Source organism: Homo sapiens, chromosome 17 (genome assembly GCF_000001405.40).
Source record: "Homo sapiens chromosome 17, GRCh38.p14 Primary Assembly".
Classification (NCBI taxonomy): Eukaryota; Metazoa; Chordata; class Mammalia; order Primates; family Hominidae; genus Homo; species Homo sapiens.
In genome coordinates this window covers 70,464,961-70,489,296 of record NC_000017.11, presented here as the reverse complement: position 1 = coordinate 70,489,296, position 24,336 = coordinate 70,464,961, and the positions used below count along the sequence as shown (strand labels likewise).

Genomic DNA, 24,336 nt, shown 5'->3' with positions numbered 1-24,336 from the left:
ACAAACAAAACATTATAATCAAAAATTTTTAAAAACAGAATATATAAAAGGGGAATTAAAAACAGAAAGCAAAGCATAAATGTGATGACTGTCATAAGATCAACTGTGTCTGCTTTATCAATATTTTATTAAAATGATAATATAAGAAAAAATAGATTAAGTCTCAAAGTGAATACTGTATGTGATAAGCAGAGGATCTTTTTAAAGGATTTTGACTTAGAAGGCTGGGAATAAGAGTTTGTACAGAGGCCTAAGAATAAAGACGTGTCAAAATAAGCAGCAAATGCTTAAATTCTCATTTAGCTCTCCATCTTAATCTACCAATTAATCTTAGCAATAACTGCACGATTTTAACCTAAACCAAAACATAATGTATCTTATTACTTCTAAGTAGTTCAGTATTTTCATATTATAAAAAAAAACATAATCTCACATAATACTTTTTCCAAAAGAAAAAATGGAAGGAAAATGCCTCTTCATTGCTCAAATAAAATGTAGTCACTGCACATGATTTAGGAAGTGGTGCATTATTCATTTTTTGTGGTGAAATATATATCATTTATACCATTTGCTTCTATTGGCTTATGAATATTTTTGTTCTTCTTGGATTCTTAAAAAATCCCTCTATTAGATGAATGATGATTGCTAGGAAATTCTAATAAGAAGTAACATTACAAATGGTATTACAATTGTAGTGATATGGATCTAAAATTCCTATTGTCCATTGATCTAACAAAATTGCTTATATTGACATTTTGATGATGGCTGTAGTCTCACATCTGTTGAAAAATAAAACAAAAGTAGGAAAAAAAAACCTCCCCAAACACATCCAGTTGCTCCCTTATTTGAATGTTTACATTGAGAAGAAGTCAAAAAAGAGCACACTGAGCGGCTCAAATTTTAACATCTCCAAAAGCTGACCAAAGGCAGATATTAAGAAATTCAACTATGGGGAATCTCTTGTAGACTCCATGCTATTAAAACTCATTTTTCCGATAATGCTCATATTATGTCTTTGGTCTTATGAACATAAATCAAGCTGGACATAAAGAATTACTTTATGACATTGCTGTATATATGTAGTTCAAGCCCACTAGAGACATTTCTGCCACTCATTGTTTTCCAGTGATAAAAATAAATGTAATTACTTTCTTGGCTGCAGCTCACTATATGTATTTTTTTCTAATTGTCAGGGTAATACGCTTTTCTAATAATGAGTTCATGCTCCAATGGTGGTTGGTTCTAGACCATTTCTTGGAGAACACAGGAAATGATATACAATTTACCTATGTTGGGAACTCAGAAAATAATTTTGTGAAATGACAACGTTAAGGTCCCAATGATAGCAAAAGTCTAAATCTATTGGAAGGTTATCATATTGTTGAAACATTGGATGCATCATCATTATCCAAATAAGAGTGTTTTTTTAAAAAGACTAAGGTGGAAAAGAGTCAATGAAAAAAAAAAGTTAAATTCTACAGCCTAGAAGAAAAGCAAGAAAACATAGAGAACAAAAAAGTGATGATCATCATATCCTATTACATTTATTTAGGGATATTATGTATTTATAATAAAAGTAAACCTATTATTTCTCCCAAATTCAGAGTGGCAAAAACTAAGGCATGGAGAAGTTATGTGTCATATAGGTTTTATTGAATAGAAAGAGAGCCTGAAACAAGGATTCTGGTGTATGTAATTTATGGAGGAGTGCTCTCAGAACAGGGGTGAACAAATTAAGAAAGGAAGGAAAAAAAAGAGCCAATCAAGAATGTGGTGTCGCCCAGAGATGAATTTTAACATGATCCTTAGTGGCCTTCTGGGGCATAAATTACAGCCCAGAGATGGACTTAATTTGAAGCATGAGCACTAGTCTTATATGTCGCCATCTCAACCATCAGGTGAGATGGCTCTCACTTATCTGAAGGCAGTTCTACAGAGAAGGGGCAGCTTTGTGGTATTAGTGGCTAATGCTCACAGTAGCTGGGGACACTGGCTCAGAAAAGGAGATCTTGTTGGTGGCACAGACAAAATCCATTCCATGAGATGATTTGCTCAATGCCACCAGCTAGTTAGCAGTGGAGTTAATATGTAAGTGAAGCATTCTGACTTCAGATCTTGAGCTCTTAGCCACCAACGTAAATACAAAAAGTCCTTAATAGGACTTAATTCTTATCAGCATACAATTTAGTAATTGTAAAAAAATGACTTTCTAACAGCCAGATGCTCATCATCAATGGTATATAAAAAATTACCAGGAGGCTAAATGTTCATGTGCATTTACGTGATGGCAGGAATAATTTAGATCAGAATTTATCTCATCATTATTTAATAAGTATTTTTTATGCATCTTCAATATATTATGCACCATTCTGGGTACTGGAGATTCCATGGTAAACCAACTGACAAGGTTTCTCCTTTTTCTAGAATTTATATTCTATCGAGAAAACAATAATAAGTCAAATAAATACATATATGCAATATAATATAAATAAGATATTTTGAATCAAAATAAAACAGTGTAAGGGGTTAGAGAATTACTGTGGATTTTTAAATTTTAGGAGTGAGAAGAATATACTAGGAAATTTTATCTTTGTTTTCTTTCCAACAACTCTGGGCCCGATGGAAATATATTTTCCCCCCTAGAGCAACGCCTAGGAAATTATTTTATCTCAATATCCCGAGTGCTCAATTCCCTATCATCAGCAAGATAAAGGTTATGGATTCTTGGAAATAGTCAAATGCAGTGTTTCACTATGGAACTAATTTTTGGTGGGAGTTTTCCACCAGCTGTTGACAGTATTTCATCAATGCATTCAGAGTATTTGAGAAAAAATATGAAACTCTTCTTTCAATCAATTAAAAATAAAAATCAAATTCCAATTTCTCTTTAGGGAAAATAAAATAGATTACTATGTCCAGTAATCTACCTTGGAACTAATGCTGTTTCAGTTGGAATTCAGGTTTCAGGCTATTTATGATGATCCAAGACATCGGTGATGATATGATCAAGTTGTCTTTGAAAGAATATCATGTATAGCTATTTTAAGTTGATAGTGTCAGTAGCCGTATTTTTTTGTTGTTGTTTCAAATAGTTAATCTATAAAGTAGTGAGGTGAAAACTGAAGACAGTGTGCAAGGAACAAGAAGAGTAGAAAATGAGTCTATTATCTGGACCTAAAATTATTTAACTATGTTAAAGTAAATATTTATTATATTCTCTTTAGTTTGAGAATCACGTGATGTTATGTAACAGAAAACCGTAAGCTTTTAGCCCATTAATTTAGCTTTGCTGAGAGATCATCAAACTGAAGCCAGAATGAAAAAACACATACACAAATGCACACACACATGCTTAAGAAAACAGATTATGGCATAGGCACTTTAAAGAGGTAAAGCCCCGAGCTGTAGCCTGCTTATTATGGTTAAAAACTAGAAACGTTTGCAAACTATTCACCTTGAAAACACTAGGCATACAAAATAAAATCCCTGTTGGAGTCATTTCCTATCCAATTAATATTTGTTCCATATCTTGTTACCATGAAAGCTTTACAGCTAGTTTACAAGATGTACCCTTGAGACATCTTGGTTTTAAGAGATTTTTAGTAGTTGCTGTGAAATGTAACCTACTTTTTATGACTCCACTTATGGGACTCTGTGACTTAGCTAGTATATACATGATTTGAATTTACCTACTCAAGAAACATCAAAGGGCTTTTTCTCCCTTTTTCCATTCATGTTTGATTGTAATAAAAAGTATATTCTTAGCAGATCCCTTTTCTAAAAACACAAATAATAAAATATTTTATCCAACAAAGTAACCTTTTAGATACTCTATTTACTATTTGTTTGCATCTATTGGTGTAAACATCTTATGATAAGGGATGATACTCCATAAGAAAATATGTTTAGAAATAATTAGATATAGAGAAAATGTTTCTTTCCTAACAGAATGTCAATAAGGAAGAGTCAATTATAATCTATGCTGCTTCAAAAAGCCAGAAATAAAATAATAGTTAAAAGAACTAGAGCTAAGATAAGAGGATCATTATTTAATGAAATCATGTTTGCAGTGCCCTGACCAGAATCCCAGATTCAGGACCCAAACATATTCCTGGTCTTCATTCTAGGTGTTGGATGCGATGACTGCAGAACAACTGAGTTCTTTCCCAGGATGGCCCTTGGCTGAAGAGAGCTGCCTCACCCAAGTTTATACTTTCTCCCTGGGAAAGCTCATTCCAGGGATTTATCTATGCAGTAGGTCTGCTCTCTTTGCCCTGACTTCAGGTTATCTTTTCTTTTTTTTAAATTTATTTATTTTTATTTTTTAAATGGACAGGTAAGATTCTATGTAATTATTGTGTACAACATGATATTTTGAAGCATATATTTACAAAGTCAGATGACTAAAACTAGCTAACTGACATGTGCATTAATCACCTCACAGAATTATTATATTATTTTGGGGGGAGAACACTCAACATCCACTCTCTTAGCATTTTTAAGAATATAATATGCTGTGATTAACTACAGCTACTGACGGCAGCGGCGGGCCATCTGGAATGGCCATGACGCTGGATGCAGACGGGAGGCATGGCCGGGCCCCCACTCTCCACTGAGCAGGCAGAAGCCTCGTCCTCCTCAAGTTCCACTGAAGATGCCCTGGTGGGCTCCAGACTTTGGAGTCTCTGAGCTTTGGGGGGCCTGGGAAGTCCCCCCCTTCCCCCCACAAGCTTGGAAGTGCCTGCTCCCATTGCCTGGTTTCTCCCTGCTGTCAGTGCCCATTTTGATTTCAGAGGCATGGTCAGAGCTGTACACTCCACAGACCCTGTGGGAGCCAGGGACAAGAGGGAGCCCTGCCCTTCTAAGTTGGCTGGACAGGAACTCCCCAAGTGTGGGTGCAGCTGCAGCCTATCCGAGCACAGCTGTGGATCCAGACACTTCTGTGCTCTTGGGGCCCCAGGAAGGACCCCCTTGCCCCCCAGCAACAGGTTCATAAGTGCCTGCTCCCACAGTCTGGCCTCTCTCCACTCCAGGTGCCCACTCTGATCATGGAGCAAGGTTGGGGCCAAGCCCAGTGTTGTCACAGCCCAGCTGGGTAGGCACACACTCAAGATAGTGCTGAGACACCAGCCCTCAGCTGCCTCGTCTCCCTCTGGACTTTGGGCACCAACAAGCGTGGGAAGTACCTGAGGGCAGCTAGGCACTGGCCTGCAGGTGCCCCTTGGTGCAAGCAGCCTGGGTGCCACGGACAGCGGCAGGAGGCAGACAGGCTCCTGGGCAAAAGTGGGTGGTCCCCAGTGAGGCCTGACCTTGAGCCCAGGGAGGGCCTGAAGGGGCTGGGGGCCAGGCTGCCAGTCCTGCAGACTGGAGTGGGAACTTGTGGTGCCTTTTGAGCATGCCCATGGACCAAGTGGCATGTGCTTCCACCCCTCTGAGGCCCATAAAAGCCCCAGGCTCAGCCACAGCAAAGCAGACATCTGGACGACCAGCTGCAAAGAGGAGCTACGCTCTCCAGGGCCTCCTCCCTGCTGAGAGGAGCAGATATTGGGACAACCAGCTCCGGAGAGGAGCTACCCTCTCCAGGGCCTCCTCTCTGCTGAGAGCTGCAGATAACAGGATGGCCAGCTGTGGAGAGGAGCTGCCCTCTCTGCTGAGAGCTGAATACTTGGGAAGACCTGCCCACAGAAAGGAGCTACCCACTACAGGTCTCCTCTGGGCTGTTCTAACATTCAATAAAGCTTCTCCTCATCTTCCTCACTATTCACTTGTCCGCATACTTCATTCTTCTCGGATGCAGGACAAGAGCTCTGGCAAAGGTGCCACCAGCCACAGAGGCTTCCAACCAGAAAAGCAACACCCCAAAATCCCAAAACATTACCATGTTGTATAATAGATCTCTCAAACTTCCTCCTATCTAAATGGAATTTTGTATCCTTTAATTAACATCTCTCTAACCCTCCTCCCCCAACCACCCCAGCCCCCGGTTACCACTATTCTATTCTCTATGTCAATAAGATCAGCTTTTTTAAGATTCCACACATAAGTGAGATCATGCAATATTTGTCTTTCTGTGCTGAGCTTATTTTATTTAACGTAATGTCCTCCAGGTATATCCATGTTGTCCCAAATGACAAGATTTGCTTCTTTTTATGGCTTCAAAATATTCCATTGTGTGTATATACCACATTTCATTTATCCATTCATCTGTTGATGGACACTCAGGTTTACTCTACATCTTGGCTGTTGTAAATTATGCTGCAGTAAACATGGTAATCCAGATAGCTCTTCAACATACTGATTTCATTTTGTTTGGATATATACCTAATAGTAGAATTGCTAAATCATATTGTAGTTCTATTTTTAATTTTTTAAGAAAAATCCATACTTTTTTTCATAATGGCTATACTCTTTTATATTCCCACAGTGTGCAAGAGTTCCTTTTCCTTCACTTTTTTTTTTTTTTTTGGAGACTGAGTCTCACTTTGTCACCCAGGCTGGAGTGGAGTGGCCCAATCTCAGTTCACTGTAGTGTCCACTTCCCAGATTCAAGCTATCCTCCTGCCTCAGCCCCTCAAGTAGCTGATAATACAGGTTCACACCACCACGCCTGACTAATTTTTGGATTTTTTTGTAAAGATGGGGTTTCGCCATGTTGCCCAGGTTGGTCTTGAACTCCTGGACTCAAGCAATCCCCCTACTTGATCCTCCCAAAGTGCTGGGATTATAGGCATAAGCCATCATGCTCAGCCCTTTTCTTCATCTTTAAGGAGTCATTCAGGCTTTGGAGCTCCTGTGGGGTTGGTGGAAGCCATTGTTGTACCTACATCTCTTTTCCAACTTGCCTTCTGCTTACTCCTGCTATCCTTGTTTCTTACAGGTGACAATCTCAAGAGATGTCCCCAGTAAATCTTTTGAATACAAATCTTCATCTAAGAGTATGTTTCTTGGTGAATTTGACTTACAAAATATGAATTATATGAAACAGGCAGCACTTAATCATAAACATATCTGACTCACTTTTCATCTAAGATTAAAAATATCATTTTTGTCATAGAGCACTTGTTTTAATCAGTATGCAAAAATTGTGCTTGCCACCATTCTCTACATCAAGTTTTCATTCAACTCTAAAAATTGTGGTAAATTTTATGACCCTAAGAGAAACTAGTGTTTTCAGTGCTCTGACCAGAATCCCTGTGTCAGGACTCAGACTTATTCCTGACACCCATTCTAGGTGCCAAGAATGATACCTAGGTTGCCTTAGTTGTAGTCAAATGGCTAGAAGCCAGTTGCAGGTCCCAACTGTACTACAAGAGTGCTAATACTAGAAGACAGTAGTTATTAGGGAGAGAGGATTGTTCTCAGGGTCTGTCTACCACAGAGACTATGGTTCACTATGTCACGATTCTCCATTTTTGGATTTGAGTTCCACCCCTGCATTCTTAGAGCCTCTCAGATTTGTTCAAATATGAAACTCTAGCCTCTTGGTCAGGGTTGGGTTGGGGAGGAGGGCGAAAGACCATTACCTGATTCTGCAAGCTTTGGAATTTCAAAGGTTTTCTGTCAAGTGCAACCACTTTCTATATATTCAGTATTACACCTTAACTCACCCTAGGAATTACCTGTTTTCTCTAAGAGGCTGAGTTTGCATGAGCTTTTTAGGGTCTGGTGGCCTACTTCTTTATCAAATTCCCATCAGACACCTAATATTGTAGATTCTTATTCCCTGCTGAGTCAGTTCCTCTCCTGCATTTGTGATTTAATCAAAGTCTGCTGAAATTTCTGAATTGTAGTTGAGTCTACTTCAATTCCCTTTTGTCTTTGTGGGGTTATTCCTTCTTTTTATGTTGTTTTGCCATTATTTTAAAGAGGCTAGTGGTGGGGGAGACAACATAAACATGTATGGTACATGTGTCCTATTTAACTGGCTGTTTCTCTTTCAAATGTTGTATTTTGTCTTTCTTCATGCTGCTCCAGTTTTCCCTGTACCCAAATGACCCCTGGGACAAGACCAGGATCATTTCTACATAACCCCACAACACAAGAAGCATCTTTAAATATTTTTGCCTTATCAAATACAGAAGTAAAATTTAAACAAACAACAATGACAAAGATGAATAAATAGCTGCAACTGGGTGTGGAAATATTTAGGGCAAGGAGCAGTTACGGTCAGAGCCAGTATCATCTTCAAGAGGAATGTGATGGGGAGCTTTAAAGCCTGCAATACCTATGTCCTTCTGAGGAAGCCCATTTCTAAGCCAAAGAGATAGTCCTGCCCTCTGGCCTTCAATAGGTCACTATTACATATGAGGCAATAGTTTGTCATATTTCACAAAATTAAACTATGCAAACTTTGTAACAACACATGATATATCAATAAGGTTGAACTGTTACAAGCGGACTGCTATCCTTTTCTAAGTACGAGAGGATCAATAGGACTGCATTCCTTTTTATTGTGTATCAGCAGCTCTGCTCAAAATCACAAATGACCAAATGTATAATATGCTCATAATCATGATCTTCCCTTTAAAAAAGGCAATATAATATCAGTAAAGGAAACGCAAATCAAGTAAGAGGAAAAATGTTTGTGCAGACTTAGTTCTGATAAACATAACCAACTTAAAGTGCTAGAAACTCTGTATAATATGTCCTGAGTACCCTCTGTTTTGGTCAGTTTGGGCTGCAACAATATGCCATAGACTTACAAACAACAGAAATATATTTCTCACAATTCTGGAGTCTGGGAAGTCTAATATCAAGGTGGTGAAAGACTTAGTGTCTGGTGAAGGTCATCGGTAACTTCAGGTGGTAGAAAGGGATAAACAAGCTCCTTTGTTCCACTTTTAGGAGGGCACCAATCCCATTCATTAGGAGACACCTTCATGATCAAATCGCTTCTCAAAGGTCACACTGCTGATACCATCACCTTGAGGATTAGAATTGCAACATATGTATTTTTGTGGGGACATAATTATTCAGACCACAGCACCTTCCTCACTCCAAATCAACTGGCATGTACTGGGTTTGAACTTACGTAACTAAAATCCTATTGAGGTGAAAGTTTCATGGTACACAAGCAAGCCAGGTGTCCCAAAATAAATTCAAGTTTCCATTTCTTGGGCTAGAGAGAATGCTTACAGATTTAACATGGCATTTTTTCTAGGTCCCAGTATTAAGGATTTTTAAATATATTGAGATCCATTCTCATTCATTGTCTTAAGAGTTATGGTAATATATGCAACATATGGGAGTATGCATGTGTGTGTGAGTGTGTGTGTGTGTGTGTGTGTGTGTATTTGAGGAAAGTTTATCTTTCAATTATTTGCTGACTATGCATCTAACAACAATTATCTGCATGTTTCATATGAGAACAAAGGAAGAAATTCAAGAACATGATTTGGCCAAGTTGGTGCTACTCTGATTAAGTCCTCTGGTTCCAATATTTATAGTCTTATCACAAATAGTTCAAGGCTCCTAAAGAGATGGGTCTAAAAAAAACCCACTATTCTGCTTTTGTAATTAACATAAAGACTTATAGGGACCATAGATTATTCTCATGGTACCCTTGTGAGTAAATAGTCTCAGACTGATTCAGCTGACCTGTGGCAGAAGCTCAAATTGAAACAAGAAATTATGACCCCAGGTCGGCATCTCTGTTAAATTGAGAACGTTCTGTTTTCTATTTGCTGTAAGCTACATCTCAAAACTTCAAAATGTACTTTAAAAATTTCTATGTTCTTATTCAGCAATTTAGAAACCCTCGGATGATTTTTTTTTCTGTTGACTATCAACTTCATACAGTGAATACTAATCTTAGTTTTAGAAAAAAATGCAAATCCTAGCATTTCTTTAATCTGGTATGTCTTTTAAGTGAGCTGTTGAAACTTAGGAAAAAAAGTGACTGCACCCAGTGATTATTTGGAAAAAAGAATGACCTCAAGAACTTGAAATTAAATGCATGAAAGGAAATACATCATATATTTTTTTCCTCTGGGTGATGACAGGACTTAAAATGCAAAATGCTACACTTGCCTGGAAAAACTACCTATTTAAAAAAAAATTAGATTTTAAACGATCTCCTGGGTACTACTATGTTACTCAGGACTGTCGACACAGAGAAATGAGGCATTCTACTTACTGAAATGTTGAGAAATGGCCCAAACGGTGCCAAGTGCATGTCCCTTACTGTGAACCATTCCCCCATTCCCTGCACTCTGGCCCAATTACGAGGAATAGCCATTACTATGCCAAATTTGGAGAGTTGAGCTGCCAGGCCAGAAGTGTCCCTTGATGGTTTCCTGCGTACTCATTCAAGAGAATGAACATACAATTGTTTACTGTGATAAGATGATACTTTATTCACTCTTGTAAAAGCCATCTAAAACAATCTTCAAACTTTCCAGCACCATTTGAATAGTGATATGTATCATTTAATCTGTGCCAAACTCAAAGTTACAAAGCCTTATTCCTGGCAATGACTACAAAAAATTTCCATTTACTATGAAAACTAAAAGAACACACAAAGTTTCAGTCTTCTTCTCTGGGGTGTTTTCAATGGATTAATACAATGTGTTATTTCTGAATAAATACATCCTTCTGTTCTTTTATGTAATCCTTTTTTATATTAGAATCACAAATAATGTATAAGGATAGTTAAAATTAATATTATTTAGTGCATAAAACTCTACTCATAGAAAGAATATTAAAATATGTATTTTGACTGATTATAAATGATCATTTAGTATGGCAAATTTAGAAAACAGAGGAAAATAAAAATATGACAGCAAAATATAACCTGAAATTCCTACACTAAGAATTAGAAGCCGTGTCATCATTTCTGTGCATTTATTTTCAAATGTGTGTGCATGTGTATGCACACATTCTTTGTATATATGCTTCTATGTATTTACATCATCACAATTTTTAAAACCACACTGTGTAAATTAATATTTAAGTTTACATTTACAAACAAAATTTTTAAGGTACCTGAAATCTTGTGTGCAGATAAATTTTGCAAAAAGCTTTAGTCAGAAAACATTTATTTATAATCATAAATAATGGTCAAACAATGCAATAAGCATTGGTCAAGCAATGTTATAGAGTAATGTATATGTAATGACTTAAAAAGTCTTTATATCCTAAGGCCATTTTATTCAGATCAGAATATTTGATTTAATGTATAGAAGTTCTGACCTTCATTTATCTGCTTCTGTAAGATAAATCAAATAAGTTGAAGACATCACATATTTTTCTTACTAGGCCTCAATAGATTCAAAACATTTCTTTATTATTATACAATTTACATACACCAAATTGCACCCATTTTAACTATCAGTTCAATGAGTTTTGACATATATGTACAATTGTGCAATCACCTCCCTTACCAAGATATAGAATATCTCCATCATTCCAAATAGCTCCCTTATGCCTCTCTGCAGTGACTTTCCACCCACGACTAGCCCAACGCACTACTGGGCTGCTTTCTGTCATTATATATTAGTTTTACAAAGGACTTGTGAAATGCAGTTTATTTTATAAATAGTCCCAGATGGACCCCTAATCAAGAAAGAATTTCAGTTAAGCCAAGAGGTCACTATGAGAATTAAATTCTAAAAGTAAAGAGAAATATAAAATTTCTTACTGTTCTTTCCAGCATCAGATATTAGCCATTAGAGAAAAATACCATTTTGTGAATAATAGACAAGAATATAAGGATTTGCCTTGTTCTTATTTGTAGTCTCCTTTAATACTTAATGATGAAACAATGCATTATTTTAATAGTCTACAGATAACATATAATCTTTATTTCTTCTCAATAAGTTGAATTTTGAAAATTAGTAATTTCAATTATTACATTAGACAATGGTGGGAAGACATGTTTTGCCTCTGGTTTGTCCAAGTCTAAAGTATTTCACCTTTAGTAGATACATTTCTCAGCGACAAATGTCACATACACACACACACCCTAAAACAGAATGCAACACTTTAAGGCAACGAAAAGAAACGTTTGTTTGCTTTGGGAGTATGATTTCTAAACCATGGATCCGTTTAAATTTTTGATGAGATAATTCTTTGTTGGGAGTTGAGGGGTTGAGGAAGGCAGGAAGTTTACTACATGCCTGGTCTCTACTCACTAGATGTCCATAACTAACAAGCCCCCACCAGCCACGCTAATCAAAAATGTCTCTGGATACTGCCAGTTGCCCTTTGATAGCAAAATCACCCCTTTGGAGAACTACTTTATACAGTGTTGGGAGTGTACTTTTCCTTTTTTTAAAATTATATTAGGATAGCAATAAGCCAGGAAATGTATAGAATCAACATGCAGCTTATAAAAGTATTACATTCATGTTCTCATACATTAACATTCTTTGCATACAAAGATACTAATGGTATGCTCATAAATACAGTGGCAATATGTACTGTGGGAATGACAGATAAAGCTGGAATTATTTAACTTATCTATTTGCTTTTTAATAAGAAGTGTGATGGAAAGATTTACTGCCTCTCTTAAAATTCATTAGGAAAAGCTTCCAGAAGGCAGAATAATAATTTTTTTTTGTGCAGCAATAATATACAATAAGACAATCATAAGACAGCAGATTTCCCCTGACTTGGCCCACTATGTACAAAGGTAACACGTTCAGTCATTGCAGCGCAAAGCACTTGGAGAAACAAACAAACAAGAGCAAGCCACTGAAATTTTGCGATGGAGGAAGCCCTCTATTAGATCACAAAAGTCAGTATCAGCAGCTTATATTTAGCAAATTGTTCAGAACAGTGCTTGTGACTTCATATCAGTACAAACTAGAGATAACCTTTCACTATAATAAAGAAGCAATTAGATCATCACTCCTGAAATACACATATGAAATTAAGATTAATGTCCATATTTTAAATTCCTTTAATACATCTCTATTTTTCCCTTGACTCAGAATTCAAATTATTTTACCATGAGAGGAAATACTTCAGGACAATTTACACTCTTGTGATTGATAACTAAGGTCTTCTGAAATCCCCCATTGGAAATTGACTTATTCCTTACCAAGTAAATAGGGTGCTGAGAAATGTATTTTACCCTTTTACTCAAGATGATCATGTTTACCCTCAGCAATTTCCAAATAAGAACTTACTCATCTTGGCCGGGCGCGGTGGCTCACGCCTGTAATCCCAGCACTTTGGGAGGCCAAGGTGGGCGGATCACGAGGTCAGGAGATCGAGACCATCCTGGCTAACACGGTGAAACCCCGTCTCTACTAAAAATACAAAAAATTAGCCGGGTGTGGTGGCAGGTGCCTGTAGTCCCAGCTACTCGGGAAGCTGAGGCAGGAGAATGGCATGAACCTGGGAGGTGGAGCTTGCAGTGAGCCAAGGTCGCGCCACTGCACTCCAGCCTGGGTGACAGAGCAAGACTCCATCTCAAAAAAACATAAAAATAAAAACAAAAAAATACTATGCTCCTATGCTGTTGTCATAGTTGCCATCTCAATATACCGAGAGTAGAAGTGTCCACATCATTTTTTTCGTAGAGTAGCCTTTTTAGTAAGTTATTTTCCATTTAAGTCTTCATAATGATCTTAAAGTTGCTACATGGGAAAGAGTTCAATGTTCCAACTTTATTTTTCTTCTAATTCCTGATAATATTCTATTAATAAAAATAATTTAAAGAGCATTTCAAACTTCCACCTCCAGTCACACACACACACAATTACAATTTGATAGTCTGTTTTCCCTTCTCAACTCTTTTGCTTGTATATACTAATTTAAATACCAAATTCACAGACTAAAGAATTAATGGTATGCATTAATAAATGTATTAATTATTCACTCCTTCATGAAAAACTAAGACTATTTCTTTTACTCTTAAAAGCATAGATAGCCTTAAATAGAATGGATTTATATCAAAGGGGATTCCCTAACATGTGACATGACACTTTACTCTGGCTGTTTTTAGAATTTCCTTTTTGTCTTTGAATTTTGACAGTTTGACTATAATGTGACTCAGACTGTACCTTTTTGGGTTGAATCTGTTTGGGAATCTTGAGTTTCCTGTTCCTGAATGTTTATATCTCTCTAAGACTTAGAAAAATTTCAACTATTATTTTATTAAATAGGTTTTTGATATAGTTTGGATATGTGTCCCCACCCAAATCTCATGGCAAATAGTAATCCCTGATAAAAGAAAAACTTTAGCTGAATTAAATTTAAAGGAGTTTAATTGAACAATGAATGATTCACAAATTAGGCAGCCCCAGAATCACAGCAGATTCACAGACTCCAGTGCAGCCACGTGCTGGAAAAAGATTTACAGACACAAAAAGGGAAAGGACATACAAAAATTGGAAATGAGGTACAGAATGGCTGGACCGGTTACAGGGTGGCATTTACCTGATTTGAACACAGTTTGAGCACTTAAAAGTGTATGAATGGTTGAAGTACGGCCACTCGGAATGGCCAAGACTCGGCTATTGTTACAGGTGCATACTCCTCAGTTAAGTTTTCAATTTTGTCTACCTATTAAGTGAGATTGCCGTTCGTCCACAAGGACTCAACTATAGAAGTAGAGAGTCCTTCTCAGGCCATAGTTTACTTTAACATCCCCAGTGTTGGAGGCTGGGCCTCATGGGACGTTACTGGATCATGAGGGTGAATTTCTCATGAATGGTTTAGCACTATCCCCTTAATGCTGTTGTCATAATAGTGAGTAAGTCCTCATGAGATCTGATTATTTAAAAGTGCGGACCAACTCCTCCCTTGCTCTCTCTCTGTCTCCTGATCTGGCCTGTAATGTGTCTGCTCCCCCTTCACCTTCCACCATGATTGTAAGTTTTCTGAGGCCTCTCCAGAAACTGAGCAGATGCTACTATGTTTCCCATACAGCATCTGGAACCATGAGCCAATTAAACTTCTTGTCTTTGCAAATTACCCAGTTTCAGGTATTTCTTTATAGCCACGTGAATATGAACTAATACAGTTTTCTACACATTTTTTCATCTCTTCTTTTTCTGGATCACCCAAAATGCAAATATTTGTTTGCTTAATAGTGTCCCATATGTCATGTAGGCTCTTTTTTTTTTTTAATTATTTTCTGCTTTTTTTGTCTGACTGTGCTATTTCTAAGGGCCCATCTTCAAGATCAAAAATTATTTCTTCTGCTTGATCTAGGCTGCTGTTGAAATTCTCAATTTTATTTTTTATTCCATTCTTTGAATTCTTCAGTTCCAAGAATTCTGATTGGTTATACTCTCTTTCTCTCTCATACACATATATATACACATACACACACACACACACATATATATACACATATATACATATATATACACATATACACACATATATATACACATATATAGTGTGTGTGTGAATATATCTATCTATATATATATATCTTTGTTGAATTTCTCAAATTATAAATTGTTTTTCTATTGTCACTGAATTGTCTATCTGTGTTCTCTTGAATCTTGCTAAGTTTTTTAAGATCATTATTTTACATTCTTTTTTATACATCTTATAATTTTATTTTCTTTAGGGACTATCATTGAGAAATTATTAGGTTGCTTTGGAATTGTCATGTTCTTTTGCTTGTTCAAGTTTCTTATAACCCTACATTGACACCTATGCATCTGATGTAATAGTCATTTCTTCCAGTTTCATGAGGTAGGTTTTTTAGGGAAAGATTTTTTCCTGTATATGTGTTTCATGGTGTCTGTTAGGTAGGATGTTTTTGCTTTGGTTCTGGGTAGACAAAGTAATGTGGTATCCATAGAATTTTTTCAGCTATAGTCAATGTCAATAATGTTTGTTAATGCCTCACAGTGGCCTAAGCTCTGGTTTTTTGGTGAGGGTTGTGGCCCAGCTTTGCTGGGGATGGGAATGCCAAGTAGGCTGATCCTCAGGCTCCTGAGTGGCATGTGTATGTGCTGGTGGTGGCAGTGCAGGCCCAGGGTAGGTTGGTCCTCAGGCTCCCGGGTGTCACATGAGGATGCAGGGCAGTCCAACTGCTGGAGGGGCAGGTTCACTGGCAGTGTCGGCAGCAGGCCCTGAAGCCACTGTTTGGTTCATGCACATGCTGGTGGTGCAATGGAATGCCCAGGCATCCAACTTCTTGTGCCCCTGGGTGGTGTGCATGTGCACTGGCGGTGTGGCAACAGGCCCTGAGAAGCTGGTCCTTGAGCCTCTGGGTAGTGTGTGTGGGCATGCAATGTTCCTGCCACTGGAGGTGGCAGGTTTGCAGGCAACGGTGGTGGAGAACTCCAGGTAAGTTGATCTTTAGGTCACTGGGTGACATATGTGAATACTGGTGGTGGCAGTGGTGGGCCCAGATAAGCCAGTCCTTGGACCTTCAACCACACACACAGTTGTGTAGTAGGTCTGCCACTGGAGGGTGGGGCCTTGGTGGCTGGCAATGGTGAGCTCTGGGCAGGCAGCTCTCAGGCTCTGGGGAGCCAGGTGTTGGCTCCCTCTATACTTGGGGCAGCCTCCCTGCTGTGCTGGACCACCTATTTCCCTAGGTGTAGAGTGCCGTGGAGACTCAAGTGTTGTTGTAGATGTACCTCTACGTCCAGCTGGTTTCACAAGGCCGCAGCCTTCCGTGTAGATGTGAAGGAATGCTGGTAGGGCCCCAAAAATATGGAGATGAAGGAGATATTGGGCCCAGGGTAGGATGCACTCTGGTGGTGCTTCTGTTCCCAAAATTCAGACGTGCTACAGCAGCCTGGATCCTGGGTGTAGGAAGGCCTATCATGAATTTCTTCTCTGAAGAAATGCAGTTGCATGAACTTCAAGCAGCTCCCTGCACTGGTCCCAGGGCCATGAGCATTGAGGGTCTCACCCATAACTAGGATTGCTTGTCTCTGTGGCAGGAACTGGGTTTCTGTGAATCTCCTGCTTATCTTTTCCCTGTGATGGGGAATCCCTCAACTATGCTGCCATTTTGAATTTTTGTGCCTCAGGGAGTCTTGTCACTTCCTTGCTGAATTTCAGTGTTCTCCCCTAGACACTCAATTCAACCTGTGGTTTTCTGTTTCTTCTTTTGGTCTTTGCGGAGAAGGAGATGCACGCAGGGTGCCTCTAGTCAGTCATCTAGATCTTAGAAATAATTTTTTAAATTTTACCAAATTAGATAAACCAGAAGTGAACTGGAAATTATAATGTGTCAAAAACAGCAGCCATAATGGGGTCACCCTTTAATAAATTTTTATCTAACCTAGTACCTATGAATGAGAACCATTAACACTGCCATGATAATTCAGGTCTGGGAAGACACAGCTGTTGGTTTGAAATTTTAAGAAAAGTTTCATGGAGGTAATTGGACCTTAAAGAATCATAGGGATTTCAAAGTATCAAGAAAAGATGTTACGAAAGTCTTGGAAAGTGGCAGGTAAGAAGGAAATAATGAAATTTTAAAATCATACCAGGGCCATTCAGAGGGCAGATGAGGGGAGGAGGGAGAGGATTAGGAAAAAATAACTAATGGGTACTAGGCTTAAAACCTGGGTGATGAAATAATCTGTACAGCAAACCCCCATGACACAAGTTTACCTATGTAACAAACCTGCACTTGTACCCCTAAACTTGAAATAAAAGTTAAACTATAAAGCAAATACATTCACAGAAACTAAAAAAAAAAAAAGCCTGTGTTCTACTTGAGAAGATATTAACTAGACTTTAATTTTTGGCTTCTTTTATAACCTGTTCACGATAAGAGGAAAACTTGTTAAAATTAAATCTTCTAAGCATAGGACTTGCAGATGTGGAAAAAATGTAATAGAAAGATATTTTCAATTCCTTCTTGGCTAAATGTACATACTTGTAGCCAATATTCAAGAAAGAGGAGGAAAGAAAAAAAAATTGTTTTCTTATGCCTTAGAGTAAAAAGAATTATCTCAATGTTCTCTCTTCCAACAAGTGGTGACCTGGCAGTATAGAAAGGTGCCTCCTGGTAGAACACATTCTGCAAGACTTTTGTACTTACATAAAATGAAAAAGAAAGTCTATGGTTTAGCGACTAATGTTTATATGAATCCAGATTTTATGATGCCACATGAATTACTGCTGAGATGACAATAGAACTCAACCTATGTAAATACATTTTACCCCAGTCCTCTGAAACAGAAATTTGTCTCAAATTAACACACTGACTTTGTTATCTGCGAAGATCCATCATCTTTGAATTAGATGTTATCATGGCTAACTAGGGAACTGAATTCAAAATAACGTCATTTCTGAAGCAGAAAAAAGAAATAATAGAGACCTATGTTCGTTTCCACTACACCGTGTCATCTACAAACAATGGAAAACAGCCCACAAACTTGAATTTAAAATAACTTTTTAAAAAAATATACAGGTAACTAGTCAAGAGAGAACAATACCAGACAGGCCAGGAGTGTTAAAAAAAAAACAAAACAAAAACAAGAAAATTACTCTTTTGGAAAATGTAACACCTAGAAAATAGATCTTATAAAATAAAAGACACAAGAAATAAAAACCTAACTAGACTAAATCTATACAAGAAATAAAAGCCTAACCAACAGTATGGTGGCTCCAATTGGAAAGATCATATGTCGCCTTTCTACAGATTTTAAAAGCAGAAATTTCAGGGAATGTAGGTTGGGAAGAAAAGGATTCAGTACTCGTCACAGCAATTAGACATAGATCAGATTAATATTAAAGTAGCATTCCCCAAAAAATTTGTGGTTTGACTTACCAATTAATTGTAACTTTTCAAGATATTCTACCCAAATATAGTATTTTAAATTATAACTCTGATGGATTAATATGATTTAAGATGGATTAACATGATTTAAGAATTATTCAATAACCCTTACTATGTGCAAGTTATTGATAAAACTATTAATTGTTTAGAACTTGTTACTCAAAATTGCCACTATGTATAACATTTTTATTTTCATTTATAAAAACTGACTTAAGTCAAAGCGATTAATTATTTTCTACAATGACCTGTGTTAGCGAAGTATATTTAGGTTATTATCAAATAACCTAAATATAGTGTAACCTGAATCAAGTGTAACTAGTTTAAGGTTAAAATAAAAAATAAGAGTATCTTTGGGAGTCCAGAACTAGAATGTTGCAAAATGGAACTAAGCAATAGAAACATTAAGGAGGTGAGGGAGACATTTGTTATTTTTCTGGACTTGTTTCTCATTTTCACTTTTTTACAGATAGGCATTTTTTGCTGCTATTAAATTGAGATGAGACGCCATACCATCTCAGAATTGGGACACGGCAACCTCAGGAACCCTTCCTCGCCTCTCTTCTGATAGCAGCCCAGGCTGGAGATAACCTCAGAGCCCTCATTTCAAGCTTCACAGGGAGTAGGTCTCTACCAGCTCCACTTTTGTCAAGTGCTACTTTCATCCAATCAACTATGTTCTACTTTGGATGGGGAGACATACTCCAATGGGTAACAGGAACAGAAAAAAAAAAAAAAAAAGCTATTTGTAGCTAAGCAAACATCACCAATAGTGTCTCTTTTTTTTCAAGTTGAAAAAAAAATAAGACTCAGGCATTTATATAATTGGTCAAGACCCCACAGTTGGTAGCAGAGTTAATTTTAGTCTAATATTCTTACTATTACAGCTCCAACTTCAAGATGCCTGTTTATTAGTGAAAGAAATATGTAAAATCATACCTAACCTAAGATAAATTGTTGCTCCTGCTTTCTTTTGTCCAAAAAGTTGATATCTTAATATTGTACAAATTTACTTATTATATCAGAAAGATTTAGCTCTTTTTCCCTCCCTTTCCCACTCGTGTCTGTGTGTGTGTGTGTGTGTGTGTGTGTGTGTGTGTGTGTGTGTGTGTGTGTTATGGTTGAAGAGGAAGAATGTGGCTGTTTTGAAATATTTATCATTGAAATAATATTTATCACGGCATTATCAGCAGGTGACCTGTTAGGTGTTCTTATCACCAAAGTACAATTCAATTTCCTTTAGACTTTAATGCAAATGTGGAGTTTCTATCCTCAAAATGGTATTTCAAACATATATTTGGATATCTTACTACTTATTTAAAAAAAGATGAAAAGACAAATTCCTTGACAGCACAATTTAAAATTCTAAATCCTAAGGACATGATCCTGAAGCTCCCTACTAAAAAAAAATTTTCCTAGGGATTTTACAGTATTTGGTAAATCCTCTTTGCCTTTTAACATGGTGCATGAGTCTACATTTCTTAGCAATTCTGCTTCTACGGATATTGGGGATTTAAGAATGTAAACATAGGAATGGACAATAAGTATAGTTTGTTAAAATATCCAGATCTTGAAAGGTAATTTTGAAGGATTATTCTGCCAATTAGTAAGTATTTCTGAAATGACACAGCAGACAGGAGATAATTCATTGAAATGTCATCCATCCACCCTTTCCCCTTGTGTCACGAGGTGTTTAAATAACTTTGTGAAGGAAGGAGGAAACAGCTGTGCTAAAATTGTGGATTTTATGTCTTTCACTGTTGTGTGTGAAGCTGCCAAAATGAAAGTGTTAATGAAATTAAGACTATGTGAGATTAGAGTATGCAAACGAGCTCATTCTTTGGGTGGGGGCTCCAATGTGCTCTTTTTCTTTCTCACTGTTCACACTGAATACTGAGGGCTAATATGACAAGAACTGTATTTTTTAGCTTAACTCCTAAATCTGGAGTCATGATTGAGCAAAACTAATAGAATAATTCAGTATAGAGTCTGGCCAGTAGCTTATTTTCCCTATGGCTATTCTACTCATTGAATATAAATCGAAAGCATGTAAAACACTTTCAGTGTATTTGGGTGGGTGGGGTACAATTTAGTACAGGGACAGGAGAATAGTTTCTAAGTAAAATAATAGATCTCAAGATACTCTAGGGTTTTAAGATCAGAACCACAAAACTAGACACATAAGATACATACATACATATATCCATATATACATACATACATAGAAAATGAATCAATGGAGAGGTTTATAATGATCACTATAAAATGAGAGTATAAGAAAAGTGAGGTCCCAATCTCAATAGAAACAAGTTTAGCTTCCTGGAATCTTAAATCGCATCTCCAAAAACAACATTCAACACCCAGTGAAACAAACATATTAGCCAATCTTCAGTGCGAATACACAAACAAAAATAAAAGCATTTAATTTAGAAACTATTTAGAGAAGGCATCAGCAAATTTTAGACTAATATCCAGTGGTTACAGGATTATAGACTTTTAGCACCAATAAAAAGCTTAGAATTTAAGCCACCACATCATTGAAGATGGGGGAACCATAATTCAAAGAATTCGATTTACTTAAACAAGATCATACAGCTGCTGAATGACAAAGCAAAATTTATATCTTATGTCTATTCTATTTCCAGTGTTGTTTCTATAAAACTGGTTGATGTTTGATGTCTGGCACTACACTTTCCACTACAAGAAAGGCAATACTTCAAGGAGAAAATATATCATATATCTTTTACTACTGAGATTTAACAGACATGGAGGAAAGGTGATTTTTGTTATCAAATTTACAATGTATTTGGGTATATAAAGAAAACAAAATAAGTACTGGTAGGATCCAGAAAAATGAGTATCATAAATCTGTAGCTACATTATAATTTGTTTAACATTATTTTGTTTGCCTTACTTTCTAGTTATAATCAGTGTTTAGAACTGAAATACTAATCTAGTAGCTAGGTGTGGTTGAGTGAGTAATTCAAAGAAGAAATAGAGAGAATACTATAATGATGTCAATGCTTACAATTGACCAAAAGAAAAATGAAAAAAAAATTAGCCTGCTAGAAGAAGTTGATCTGGAATTCATCCCACAAAAACTAACATGCATTTATCCTCTTCATTCCTTCTTCCTTTTAACACTTAGAAAATATTGCAAAAAAATACATATACAATAATTATCTAAAGAAAGACATTGGGATTACTGCCTAAGAAAATGACCAAAAGTACATTTGCAAACATAAATCAACAGAAGGCTTGTAAAAACACAAAAGAAGGACTGCATTCTTGGGCATCAAACCAGAGGGGTGTTGGTTGCTTCAGAAACTATTTCTCCATTGTGTCTTTTAAATTACCAATGACCCCGGCCATACACTTTTCAAACATCAATAACTAAATGCACATGTTAATGTAATCTTGAAACACGAGAAACGAAATCAGGCAGTTTGATATACAACATACCTTATCTATGCGAAGCAAAAACAGAAAGGGTAGATTTTTAAAAAAAAAACTAGCAACCATTAAGTATATACTATATGTCAGACATTTAGTCCTCAAAACACCAACTATAATATCCACTTCACAGAGAAAGCTCAGAGAGCTTGCGGGTTTTCTTTCCCCTAGAGTTCATATAGCAGAAAGTTGATGTCAAGATTCAAACCTAGGTTCACTTGAGTCCAAAGTATAAGGTCTTTTCAGTATACTTTTTTGTGAAATGATAGATAAATTTCTGGTCTCTCTCTGTCTTTTCTTGCAGGCTTGAAATGACATGGTGATATTTTGAAAAGAAGTTATTTTATTCACTCTAGGTAAATTCACAGTTAATAAGATTTCCTTACCAGAATGATGGAATTAGGAAGCTAACAAATCATTTCCTCAAACAAATGTGAACCATAAAGCTGAACAAAACTGTCAATCATTTCAGATTGCTAAAAATCTGGAAATCAAGCAAAGCTGTATATTAATGTAAGAAGCATTCATGCTTGAGTTCTACTATATTTGGGTAAGACTGGCGTGAGCCTGTGGTGCTCTTGCCCAGGACTGCTCCCATGCCCCTACTATCTCTGTCCATGATATTCCAACTAGGGAGGGACAGGCTGTGAAAACCAGCAGTGTCCCTGTTCTGCCAGTAAGGGCACACAGGATTTAGAGCACTTAATTATTAAAGGTGTGTGATGGTTAATATTACATGTGAAGTTGACTGGGTCATGGGGTGCCCAGATAGTTGGTTAAACATTATCTCTTGGTGTGTCTTGAGGACATTTTCAGAAGAGATTAGCATTTAAATCATTAGACTGAGTAAAGCAGAGTCCTCTTTAATGTGAGTGGGCATCATCCAAGCTGGTGAGGGCTTGAATACAACAGAAGGTGGAGAAAGAGAGAATTTCTTTTCTGCCTGATTGCTTCAGCTAAGTCTTTAGTCTTCTACCCTCAGACTGGGATTGACATCATTGCTGCTCCTTGTTCTCAGGCCTTTGGGTATGAACTGGAACTACACAGATCCTGGAACTCCTCAGCCTCTGAAGTCTGGTAAAACACTCCTTACAATAAAGCTCTCTCTCTTCCTTTCTGTCTCTGTCCCTGTTTCTCTATCTCCATATATATACAGATGGATACACAGATAGATAGATATGTGGAGATATATAGAGTAAGTCCTCACTTAATGTTGACAGGTTCTTGGAAACTGCTACTTTAAGTGAAACAATATGACAACACCAGTTTCTCATTTACATTATAACTAAAAAACATTGAAAAAATGAAGTTCTTTGAGAATCTGCTATATGTATTCAAGGACCACTATATATATAAAATGTATATCTATATATATGTCACATGTATATACTGTGGTACATATATATCTCACACACACACACATATATATACTGTGATATATATGTATATTTATATATATGTGCAGGTGTGTAGGTGTGGTATGTGTGAGATATACATTTAGTCATGCACTGCATAATGATGTTTTGGCTAACAACAAACTGCATATACTATGGTGGTCTCATAAGATTATAATGGAGCTGAATAATTCCTATTGCCTAGTGACTGTAGCTATCATAACATCACAGAGTTACACATTACTCATGTTTTTGGTGATGCTGGTATAAACAAACCCACTGTGCTGACAATCCTAAATAGTACAGCACATACAACTATCTACAGTACATAATACTTGATAATGATCATAAACAACTATGTTACTGGTTTATGTATTTACTATATTAAACTTTCAATCATTATTTTAGAGTATACTCCCTCTACTTATTAGAAAAAAAAGTTAACTGTAAAACAGCCTCAGGGAGATCCTTCGGGGGATGTTCCAGAAGAAGGCATTGTTATTATAGGAGATGACAGCTCCATGCACGTTATTGTTCCAAAAGATCTTCCAGTGGCACAAGATGTGACAGTGAAAGACAGTGATATTGATGATTCTGACACTGTGTAGACTTAGGCTAATGTGTGTATTTGTATCTTAGTTTTAAACAAAAAACTTTGAGAAGTAAAAAAAAATAAAAAAAGTTCATAGTACACAAAATCTTTTTTTTTTTTTTTTTTTTTTTTTTTAATTTAAAACTTTTTTTTTTTTTTTTTTTTTTTTTTATTATACTCTAAGT

General features: G+C 36.8%; 1 long non-coding RNA gene across 1 annotated transcript in view, besides 1 other annotated feature; it reads right to left on the bottom strand.

Annotated features, from left to right (window-relative positions):
* LOC124904100 (uncharacterized) overlaps positions 1 to 24,336 on the bottom strand; it is a 62,816-nt gene that overhangs the window by 13,221 nt on the left and 25,259 nt on the right. The gene's annotated exons all lie outside the window — the stretch shown is intronic.
* Positions 5,442 to 5,642: a silencer, noted in NCBI's record as "peak2978 fragment used in MPRA reporter construct". NCBI's record gives its function as "represses an SCP1 promoter by STARR-seq MPRAs in K562 erythroleukemia cells {active_cell/tissue: K562}" and the evidence as "EXISTENCE:reporter gene assay evidence [ECO:0000049][PMID:32103011]".